The 11,321-nt window shown below is 48.9% G+C and overlaps 1 protein-coding gene across 23 annotated transcripts in view, besides 4 other annotated features; it reads left to right on the top strand.

Annotated features, from left to right (window-relative positions):
• Nucleotides 1,418–1,477: an enhancer, noted in NCBI's record as "active region_6373". NCBI's record gives its function as "activates an Ori minimal core promoter by ATAC-STARR-seq in GM12878 lymphoblastoid cells {active_cell/tissue: GM12878}" and the evidence as "EXISTENCE:reporter gene assay evidence [ECO:0000049][PMID:35858748]".
• Nucleotides 1,628–1,777: a silencer, noted in NCBI's record as "silent region_4462". NCBI's record gives its function as "represses an Ori minimal core promoter by ATAC-STARR-seq in GM12878 lymphoblastoid cells {active_cell/tissue: GM12878}" and the evidence as "EXISTENCE:reporter gene assay evidence [ECO:0000049][PMID:35858748]".
• POU6F1 (POU class 6 homeobox 1) overlaps nucleotides 1,801–11,321 on the top strand; it is a 31,127-nt gene continuing 21,606 nt past the window's right edge. For 13 of the 23 annotated variants that reach the window (NR_160430.1, NR_147049.2, NR_147052.2 and 10 more), the window contains exon 1: nucleotides 1,801–2,221. The gene's annotated coding sequence lies outside the window, so the exon portion shown is untranslated. Of the gene's footprint in view, nucleotides 2,222–2,557; nucleotides 2,758–7,314; nucleotides 11,052–11,321 lie in introns of those variants that run through there. The other 10 variants (XM_047429040.1, XM_047429041.1, XM_047429039.1 and 7 more) reach the window with 8 other exon arrangements.
• Nucleotides 1,978–2,137: a silencer, noted in NCBI's record as "silent region_4461". NCBI's record gives its function as "represses an Ori minimal core promoter by ATAC-STARR-seq in GM12878 lymphoblastoid cells {active_cell/tissue: GM12878}" and the evidence as "EXISTENCE:reporter gene assay evidence [ECO:0000049][PMID:35858748]".
• Nucleotides 2,368–2,627: a silencer, noted in NCBI's record as "silent region_4460". NCBI's record gives its function as "represses an Ori minimal core promoter by ATAC-STARR-seq in GM12878 lymphoblastoid cells {active_cell/tissue: GM12878}" and the evidence as "EXISTENCE:reporter gene assay evidence [ECO:0000049][PMID:35858748]".

Below are 11,321 nucleotides of genomic sequence, written 5' to 3'. Positions count from 1 at the left end.
ACGTACATATGTATATACATGTAAAAATTTATCAAGGTATACACATACTGTGTACATGTTATGCCCCAATAAACACAGAAACAAAAAGTAATATATGCTCATCAAATATTTAAGCAATGCAGAAGTGTATACAACATAAAGAAAACCGTGATTAACATTTTTATGTATGTCTCCCTGAACTCCTCTGATCACATCCATATTTCTTTCTTCAAACTGTCGCTGATATCCATGCTATCCAAAGCCTTTGATCTATGTGTAGCACCAAACCAAGTGACATAAATGAAAAGTTTCAACCTTCATGTGACAAAGTTCAGCAGCAATACTGAGCCCCTCCTTCACATAAAGAGTAGTGGGAAATACAAACATGAGTAAGTCACAACCAGTGCTCTCAAAGAATTCACAGTCCAGGGAGAGAAACTACAGGGACTACCGGCCAAACAAAAACCCCAAGAACTGTAATATCAAGCCACGCAGTAGAGTTTCACAGGGCCATTAAAACGAGTTCAAACTATTGTACAAGGAATGACACCTTACAGTTGTATAGAGCTTGCAGCTTTCAGTTTTTTCACATACAGGCTCACAAACTTAACCCTATGAAGTAGTCATTATAAATGTCATTATAAATATTATCCTTGTTTTATAAGTAATGAAGAAGTTAAATTACTTGCCTGGACGGCTAGTGGAAGAGTTGGGACTAAAACCTAAGTATTCTGACTCCTAATACATTGGTTACTCATAAATCCGCCGCCAGCAGTACCTGCTCACTTCCAGATGGAAACAGCAAGCTGATAACAGCCTAGTCCACTGGCCAGGTTAACGACGAGGCCGGGCCATTCAATGCCCTTCCACCACGAGGCCTTACGGAGCAGTCCCGGGGAGGACTGAGGCCTCCAACTGCATTCTCACACTGCCTCTAACCCATCTACCTCTAGCTATCCTCAGACCACCAAATATCGGGAGAGGGTGGGAGGGGGAACAGCCTAGGATGACAGCAGGTGGCCTCAGTATTGGGATCCACATTCACTGGATTTACAGAGCCTCCTTCCTTCCCAGTTCTTCTCTCCATTCCCACGCTTCCACTTTGGTCTTCCAACTTTTTCCTCTTTCAGTTGTCCACCACTTCTCCAATCTGCTTTCCCTCAGCCACCCACATCCACCCCTTTTCTGGTCCCCTCTCTACCTTAAGAAGCTGCTAGAGGTTTTTCACCATTCCACTGAACTTTGTCTTTCTGTTCACATTTCCTTGTCTACTTGGACAAGAAGGCCGGAAATCTGCTTTTAGACAACACAGCCCACGGCCGCCACCGGGTGAGAGACCTGGGACCCTTCGCTGCTTTGGCGCTGGGGCACAGCTGTTCAGAGGTTCTCCACGTTGGCTGAGCGATGTCTGAGTTCCCCCGCCTTTCTAGGGAGGGAGGGATAGACATAAACTTGACTTTCAACATTGAGGACAGTTGACTACCTAGAGGAAAGGCGGTGGCCGGGAGTCACCGCCCCAACCCTCAGCTGAAGGCCATGTGGCATGGAGGGTCCGGACTCCAGCTCCTACTCTGGCACCTTCCGAAATGAAACCACCTCCGCGGCACCTCGGAGGGGCTGAGTAACCAGACCCACTGACCGTCCATCCCTGTCCCGGGAGAGAGCCTCCGGGACCTCCCGCTCGGCCAGGGCCAGAGGGTCCCCTCCCCACCCCCACCCCTCGCTCCTGGCTCCCGTGCTCCCCTCCCTTCCCTGACCGCCCTCCCAGCCCGCCGCCCCCGGCGGCTGGCGCGGGCGGTGCAGCATGCGGCAAAGCTCTTTGCATAAATTATGCTCATGACGCAGCAGCTAAAAAAATCCAAGTAGCAGAAGGAGGGAAAAAAGGGGGGGAGGGAAAAGGGGGGGGTCGTGGAAGGGGGAACGAAGAAAAATATATACCTGACCGCCCCCCCACCCGGCTTCCCCTTCCCGCTTCCCGGCCGTCCCCTCTCCGCCCGGCTTAGCCTGCGGAGCCCCCTTCGGCTCTGCCCAGCCCAGGCTGGGGGCCTGGGGGCGGCGGCGGGTCCCGACCAGCTCCCGGGCCGAGCCGAGCCCAGCCAAGCCGCACTGGCTTCTTTGTCTGCGGGCGGCGGCCGCCGTGGCCCCGGCCCCGGCCCCGGCCCCCTGGCCCGGGCTGTGAGATGAATCTCTAATCGGTGGCCGCCAGACACCCGCGGCGAAGGCGGCTCGGGCTCGGGCTCCGGTAAGTAGCGGGGTCCGGGGCGGGGAGGGGTTTGCACGGAGGGGGAGGGGGCCGGGCAGGGGAGGTTTCGGGTTTGGTTAATATGCAATGCCCGTAATTAGCATAATTTATATATTTATGATAAAGAGAAAAAAAGCCGCGGGGCCGGGGCGGCGGGATGCTGGGCCGGGGCGGCGGGGAGCTGCGGGAGCGGGACAGCGCGCGGTTGCCCAGCTGGGGCTAGACACCCGGGGGCCGCGCCCTCGCCCGCCCGCGGGCCGCTCTGGACCTGGAGCGGAGGGGGCGGCCGCCAGGTGGACCCGGTGGGGAACCCCGACCTGGCCCCTCCCCGTTTCTGCCCCTGGAGCCCTTGTGGGGTGCGGACCACAGGGGACGCTCTGTACACAGAACCAGTGGCGACCAGAAGCGGATCCTTGCCTCTCTGGAGAACACGGACGCCTGGGTTCCCGGCGGTTAGGGCCAGCTGGGGCGGCCAGGGTGACCTGTCACGGTTCTCCCGAATGAACAAACTCCGGGACGACCGGTGGGACCCGGGGGTAGGGACCCAGGCGTTGCTGGAAGGGTGGGTCAGTGATGGGAGGGCCACCTTCTAGCAGAGCATGAGCACTTCATAAATATTTAATATCGATATTATTATTAATAAATAGTCATAATAATGGGCCCGATGCAGGCTCCCTGGGCAGGCTCACCTGGCAAGGCCAAGGGAGCTCCCAGCATACCCTCTAACCTCCACTTTCGCGGCAGAATACCCCACTCAGCCCGACTGGAAGCCTAAAACCTTCACAGAATAGCCTCTGCGGCTGGGCAGGGGGAAATCAGAAGAGTTCGGGAAGCATTCCTGGGCCAAAGAAAAGAGGCTCTTTGCAGAGATTTTTAACCTCATCTGCCCTTCCCAAATTCCTTGTTCCAAAAGTAGAGGGCTGGTCTTCAATTGTTCATATACATGTGTCCCATGCCCCTTATTTAGCAATCTAAGGCAGCCACCATTGACTGGCAGAGGCCTTCTGAGGAATAATTCCATATATTCCATTTTCATTCAAGTCCTGGTCCTCAAAGTGATACTTCTGTGACCTGGTACTCCGCTTATCTGCTGTAGAACTTCATTTCTTCATTAGTTCAACAAAAATACCCACTCAGTGCCATGCTCTGAACAATTCAGACAAAACTTCTATCATGGAGTTTTTATTCTGGGGGTGGACAAGTAGATGCTAAACATTAAAACTAACAAGGTAATACCATAGAGTGATTGTGTGTCAGTGTGTGTGTATGTAGCCATTTATTCTGTTTTGTTCCTGGAAGTACTAGCTGGCAGTTAAGAAAAGTGACTCAGAAAAAATTTGCTCCTGTAAGGTTTTTCTGCATTTTGAAGGAACTTGGGATAAGCTCATATTCTTGTCCCCAAGATTTACTCACCATAAAATTATCAGAGTAATCTTTTACATTTTCTTTTTTTTGAGACAGAGTCTAGCTGATTTTTTTGTATCTTAGTAGAGATGGGGTTTCACCGTGTTGCCCAGGCTGGTCTCGAACTCCTTAGCTCAGGCAATCCAACCGTCTTGGCCTCCCAAAGTGCTGGGATTACAGGCGTGAGCCACCGTGCCTGGCCATCTTTTACATTTTTAAAATGCTTTATAATTTAAAACATTTTTATATGCATGCTTTACTTCAGTTCAAAATAATAGCAATGATAATAACAAACATATATATAGTGTTTGCTTCATGCTAGGCCCTGTTTTAAGTGCCTTCCATAAATATTATCAATTTAATCCTCACAATAACCCATGAGGTGGTTACTATAATTTGGTTCCATTTTGGATAAGGAAACGGAGGCTTATAGGGATTACCTCTAGTAGAAGCAGTACTCAAGCTGGGTCTTCTGCCTTTAAACCTGCCTTTGACCCCTCATGTCAAAATGAGGGTTCATGAGGCAGAAGAGAGAGTGGGATGCAGGAGAAACTGGCCACAGGAGGAAGGCTTGGAATGAGAAATTAGACGGGCGCTTTAGGAAGGGGCCAGTGTGGTCTGGGTTCTCCAGAACCCAATACTACACCTTGGAAATCTCTCTTTTTTTTTTTTTTTTTTTTTTGAGACAGGGTTTCACTCTGTCGCTCAGTCTGGAGTGCAGTGGCGCGATCTTGGTCTCACTGCAACCTCCACCTCCCGGGTTCAAGCAATTCTCCCACCTCGGCCTCCCAACTAGCTGGAACTATAGGCGCACACCACCATGCCTGGCTAATTTTTGTATTTTCAGTAGAGACGGGGTTTCACCATGTTGGCCAAGCTGGTCTTGAACTTCTGACCTCAAGTAATCCGCCCGCCTCGGCCTCCCAAAGTGCTAGGATTACAGACGTGAACCACCACACCCGGCCTGTACCACGTCTTTGAAATCATTTTTAAGTAGCCCCAGTACTGGAAATGGAGGCAAAACATTTGAAGTAGGGTGTGTGTTTTGAGGGAAAAGGTAGGAAATAATAAGAGGCTAAGTGATGTGGCTATGACGTGACCTCGTATCTTCAATTGTTTTCAGCCCATATTCATGAACCTAGTTATATACCAGATATTATCTTAGGCACCAGGGATATGATGATAAGCAGACATGATCCCTGCCTTCCTGGAGCTTACAGTCTACTAGGAACATACCTACTTTTCATTTTTCACATTTCTTTTTTTTTTCTTTTTTGAGACAGGTTCTCACTCTGCTGTCACCCAGGATGGGGTGCAGTGGCACAATCTTGGCTCACTGCAGCTTCACCTTCTTGGGCTCAAGCGATTCTCTGGCCTCAGCCTCCCAAGTAGCTGGGACTACAGGCCTGCGCCACCACACCCAGCTAATTTTTTATTTGTTTGTTTGGGTTTGTTATGTTTTGGTAGAGATAGGGTTGCACCATGTTGGCCAGGCTGCCCTCCAACTCCTGACCTCAAGTGATCCACCCGCCTCAGCCTCCCAAAGTGCTGGGATTACAGGTGTGAGCTACTACCCTTGACTCTACTCTCCTATTTATTTGGTCACCTCATCATTCTTTTTCCTTTCTCTGGCCTGTGTGTGCCTAGCTGTTAGCCTACCAACAGCTTGGCAAGACTGTTATCTCTGCTCATGGTTCAGGGTGTGGGGACAGGCGTCGGTGTGGAGCAGAATTGAGATCCTCTGTTTTCCAGTGTGTCCTGAGCCTTGGGGACCAGAGCAGTCCCCATCAGCCTTACCCCCATTTCCTGAGAGGAGGTTCTGTGTGGTGTCAGGAGGATGGGGTCCGGGGCAGGTCGACAGAGCCTTGAAGTTTGAATCTGCCACTGACTCTCCTGTGCCCTTGGTCAAGTCACCTGACCTCTCTCTACCTCTATGTACATATAGATAAAAATGAAGATGATTGTGGTAAGAGTCATGCTAAGCATTTCATTTACATGATCTCATATCACCATCATAACAATCCCATAGGGCTTGCCTATTTAATCACCATTTTATTTATTTATTTATTTATTTATTTTTATTTATTTATTTTTTTGACATAGAGTCTCACTGTGTCTCCCAGACAGGAGTGCAATGGCATGATCTCGGCTCACTGCAACCTCCGCCTCCCGGTTCAAGCGATTCTCCTGCCTTAGCTACCCAAGTAACTGAGATTACAGGCACCCGCCACCACACCCAGCTAAGTTTTGTATTTTTAGTAGAGATGGGGTTTCCCCATGTTGGCCAGGCTGGTCTTGAACTCCTGACCTCAGGTGATCCTCCTGCCTTGGCCTCCCAAAGTGCTGGAATTACAGGTGTGAGCCACTGCGCCTGGCCTAGTCACCATTTTAAAGATAACGAAATTAGGCCGGATGTGGTGGCTCACGCCTGTAATCCCAGAACTTTGGGAGGCCGAGGTGGGCAGATCACAAAGTCAGGAGTTCGAGACCAGCCTGGCCAATATGGGGAAACCCCGTCTCTACTAAAAATACAAAAATTAGCTGAGCAAGGTGGTGGGCGCCTGTAGTCCCAGCTACTCGGGAGGTTGAGGCAGGAGAATCGTTTGAACCTGGGAGGCAGAGGTTGCAGTTAGCCGAGATCATGCCACTGCACTCCAGCCTGGGCAACAAGAGCAAGTCCTCGTCTCAAAAAAATAAAATAAAATAAAATAAACCATAGAAATGGGCCAGGTATGGTGGCTCATGCCAGTAATACCAGCACTTTGGGAGGCTGAGGTGGGAAGATAATTTGAGCCCAGGAGTTGGAAACCAGCTTAGGCAACATGGAAAGACCCTGTCTCTGAAAAAAAATGATAATAAAACCAGAAATGGATCTGAGTTTAAAAGTCTGAATCCCATACAAGTTCCATTTTCCTACATAGGACAAGATTCTTTTACATAAAATTTCATGTCTGAAATACAGGCCTCCCTGGGAACAAGCACCACATAAAACTGCATTAGAGGCCGGGCGCGGTGGCTCACGCCTGTAATCCCAGCACTTTGGGAGGCCAAGGCGGGTGAATCATCTGAGGTCAGGAGTTCCTGACTAACCTGGGCAACATGGTGAAACCCCGTCTCTACTAAAAATACAAAAATCAGCCTGGTGCGGTGATGCGCACCTGTAGTCCCAGCTACTCAGGAGGCCGAGGCAGAAGAATTGCTTGAACCTGGGAGGCGGAGGTTGCAGTAAGCCGAGATCCCGCCGCTGCACTCCAACCTGGGTGACAGAGCGAGACTCCGCCTCGAAAAAAAAAAACAACTGCATTAGGTCATTAGGTGTTAGGTGTCCCTCTTGTAGATTCTTTACTGCTTTCTGTTCACCCACCATGAAACTTAAGCATACTGTATTGTAGTTACCTTCTTATTTCCTTGACTCCCATATTGGACTATAGCTTTCTTTTTTTTTTTTTTTTTTTTTTTTTGAGACGGAGTTTCACTCTTGTTGCCCAGGCTGGAGTGCAATGGTGCGATCTTGGCTCACCTCTGCCTCCCTGTTGTTCAAGCGATTCTCCTGCCTCAGCCTCCCGAGTAGCTGGGATTACAGGCATGTGCCACCACCCCAGGCTAATTTTGTATTTTTAGTAGAGACGGGGTTTCTCCATGTTGATCAGACTGGTCTCGAACTCCCGTCCTCAGGTGATCTACTCGCCTCAGCCTCCCAAAGTGCCGGGATTACAGGCAAGAACCACCACGCCCGGCCTGGACTATAGATTTCTTGACAAAGGTGGGAAATGTGTTTTCCCCATTGAATTCCCAGTGCCTAGCACATAGTAGCCACTGAAACATGCGTTGAAAAAACAAAGGTTTGGCTGGGCGCAGTGGCTCATGCCTGTAATCCCAGCACTTTGGGAAGCTGAGACAGGCAGATCACGAGGTCAGGAGTTCGAGACCAGCCTGGCCAACATGGTGAAACCCCGTCTCTACTAAAAATACAAAAATTAGCTGGGCATGGTGGCGCGCACCTGTAGTCCCAGCTACTCAGGAGGCTGAGGCAGGAGAATCACCTGAACCCGGGAGGCGGAGGTTGCGGTGAGCCGAGATTGTGCCACTGGACTCCAGCCTGGGTGACAGAGCCAGACTCCGTCTCAAACAAACAAACAAACAAACAAACAAAACAAAAAAAACAAAAAAAAAAACGAAAGGCAAGGCATTTCAGGATTTCTTCTAATAGGATCTCAGACTATTCTAGGGAGTTCTGATTTGTTTGGGATATCCCAGTTCTCCTCCTGGGTATCTTGGAATGTTGCACTAAGCCCAGAGCAGTTCCAGAGGAGAATGACAGGCAGAACTAGGTCCTCTAGCTCATTCTCCCCCGCTGAAAATCCTGCATGGCCCTGGACCTCTTTGGATTCTCAGGTGGTAGGCAAATGCCTTAGCACTTGCTGTTCCTTCTACCCCTGAGGCTGCTTGGGTTTTTGTTTGTATATTTATTTATTTATTAGGGACAAGGTCTTGCTCTGTCAAGGAGTGCAGGCTGGAGTGTAGTGGCGTGATCACGACTCACTGCAGCCTTGAACTCTGGGGCTCAATCAATCCTCCTACCTCAGCTTCCCAAGTGGCTGGAACCATAGGCGTGTACCACTACACCTGGCTAGTTTATTTTATTTTTTCAATTTTTTGTAGAGACAGAGTCTCCCTGCATTGCCCAGGAAGATATCAAACTCCTGAGCTCAAGCAATCCTCCCCCTTCAGCCTCCCAAAGCATTGAGATTGTAGGTGTGAGCTACTGTGCCCAGCCCTGCCTGCGTTTTTAGATGTTAGCAAGGAAAGCAAGGGATAAGTGAGCCATTTGCTAGCCAACCAGAGTGCCTTGCCAGCCCTGATCCAGGCGTTTTTCAAAGTCAACTCACTGGAGAAAGAAGGCAAAGGAGAGGGCCCTTGGTGGGCTCTGGCTCTCTCCCCAGCTTTAACCAGAGCAGCTCTGCTGTGATCTGTGTATGTATTGGGATTCTACTGCTGGGATGGGGACAGGAGCTCCTTCTCTTGAAACAGACAGCTGATTGTCTCTCCTCCCTGGCCTTCAGGCTGTGGGCACTGCACAGCATCATGGGCTTAAAGGAGGCCATCCAGATGTGCTATTTATGCAGTCATTGGGGAAATGGTCAAAAAGCAAACTGAAGAGGGCTGTCTAGTCACTGGAACCAAGCCACAGCCTGAGGCTCAAAAAAAATTTGGAAAGTTCCTGACAAGGAGATGGCAGCAGGTCCAGAGGAAAGTCTGCACAGATACCAAGCAAGGGGAACACACAGGGTACAGCTCAGAGTCAAAATGCTGAGTGTCTACTTGTCAGAGAGACGTTGATATCACATACATGTGTAATAGGAGCCATCTAAAGGTAAGACAGAGACAGACAAGGGAGTCTGAGATCTGAGACAAAGGAGGTCTTGGACTCTGCTCTGCCTGGATTTCTGGTGGGCTGAATGAAATCTGGTGGGTGGGTTGGAGTGGGCTTAGGTGTGGCTAGAGGCTATGTCTCAGGACTGACTTTGCCCTTGACTTAAAGGACCAGACACTGAGGACCCAGGTCCTCAAAGCTCGTCAAATTTTAAGGGTGAAAGGGATATCAGAATCACCCAAGCCTTATCACTACCTGAATCCTCCTAATAACACAGTCACAAAGTGGACGCTTGCCCCTGCTCAGCCACTCCCTGTGAGTGGCCATAGTTGGCAGCAAGGAGCCAGACGCCACAACAAGACTATGAGCAGACTTAACGCTCCTCTCAAGCAGATGCCTTGTTGTCCTACAAAGATTGGCTACTGCTGCCTTACGCCTAATGACCTTTGGAATTGGAAAATTCTTCTCCCCAAGAAATGTATGTATCAAGCTATAATGCACCCAGATTCACCTTGTGCAGCTTTCATTTCAATTTTGTCTCTTCCTCTTATTTTCTTTGCAAATGGCTTCTATGTGTAACGACTTTCATAGCTTATCCCAGTTCCTACCCAGAAGTGATGGTAAATTGCCAAGTTCTCTGAAAAACTCATGGAAGACTACCATGTACAAAATCTGGGGAGACAGGAGTTTAAGACTAGCCCTGGCAACATAGTGAGACCTCATATCTACCAAAAATAAAAAATAAAAAAAATTAGCTGGCCATGGGTAGTCCCAGCTACTCTGGTGGTTAAGGTGGAAGGATCACTTGAGGCTGGGAGTTTGAGGCTGCAATGAGCCATGGTCATGCCACTGCATTACAGCCTGGGCAACAGAGCAAGACCCTATCTCAAAACAAAAAAAAAATCTGAGGGGAGACATCACCTAAGAAGGAGGCTAGAGCCCCATTGAGGTAGTTAGATGCTCACCAGTTCTTTCAGCAAATTCCTCTGCCCCTCCTGCACCCCCTCATCCTACCTGAAAGGGGAAGGCTCATTTCCTCTTTTTTCAAATTGTTAGGTACCTGGAATTGCTTGCCCTCTCTTGAATCCCACTCTAGAGGGGTTAAGGAAGGAAGAGGAGGGAAAGAACCTCATGGTTCTCCTTACCTGGTTGATCAGGGAACATTCTGCCAAGCAATGAAGATGCTAAAACCCCAGGGGTGATCCAGCAATTCCATTCCTAGGTATATACCCAAAGAATTGGAAGCAGGTGTTCAAAAAAAATTATACCCAATAGTCATAATACACTATTTGCAATAGCCAAAAGGTAGAACAACCCAAATGTCCACCAACTAATGAATGGATAAACAAAATATAGTGTATCCATACAATAGAATACTATTCAGCCATGAAAAGGAATGAAGTTCTGACACATGCTACAATGTGGATGAACCTTGGAAACATGCCAAGTAAAAGAAGCTAGACACACAAAGCGACATATTCTATCATTCCATTTACATGAAATATCCAGAATAGGGAACCCCATAGAGAAAGCACATCAGTAGTTGCCAGGGCTTGGGCGGTGGCAGTGGAAGGTGAATGACTGTTAGTGGATATGGAGTTTCCTTTTGGGTTGATGAAAATGTTCTGGGACTAGACAGTGGTGATGGTGGCACAAGTGTGAACCCACCAGATTCCACTGTACGGAGCACTTTAAAGTGGCTAAAATGGTTAATTGTATGGGATGTGAATTTATCGTAGTCTGTTTGGGCTGCTATAACAAAATACCATAAACTGGGTAGCTTTTAAACAACAGAAATTTATTTCTCATAGTACTGAAGGTGGGAAGTCCAAGATCAAGGTGGTGTTGTCTGGTGAGGACCCACTTCCTCACTGACAGAGCCTTATTGCTGTGTCCTCACATAGTCGAAAGGGTGAAAGTATCTCTCTCACACTGGGGTCTCTCTGTTGCCCAGGCTGGAGTGCAGTGGCGAAATCACTGCTCACCACAGCCTCAACCTCCTGGGCTCAAGTGATCCTCCTGCCTCAATCTCCTGAGTAGCTGGGACTACAGGTATGCACCACTACGCTCAGCTACTTTTTGTACTTTTTGTAGAGACGGGGTTTCACCATGTTGTCCAGGCTAGTCTCGAACTCCTGGGCTCAAGCAGTCCACCTGCCTAAGTCCTGGGATTACAGGCATGAGCCTTGGTTCTTTTTTATATGGGCACTAATCCCATTCCTAATTACCTTCCAGAGGCCCTATCTCTTAATACTATCCACCTTGGGGATTAGCATTTCAACACATGAATTTGCGGGGAAGGACACATTCAGACCATAGCAG

Source organism: Homo sapiens, chromosome 12 (genome assembly GCF_000001405.40).
Source record: "Homo sapiens chromosome 12, GRCh38.p14 Primary Assembly".
NCBI classification, from domain to species: Eukaryota; Metazoa; Chordata; class Mammalia; order Primates; family Hominidae; genus Homo; species Homo sapiens.
This window is presented reverse-complemented; position numbering and strand designations above follow the sequence as displayed.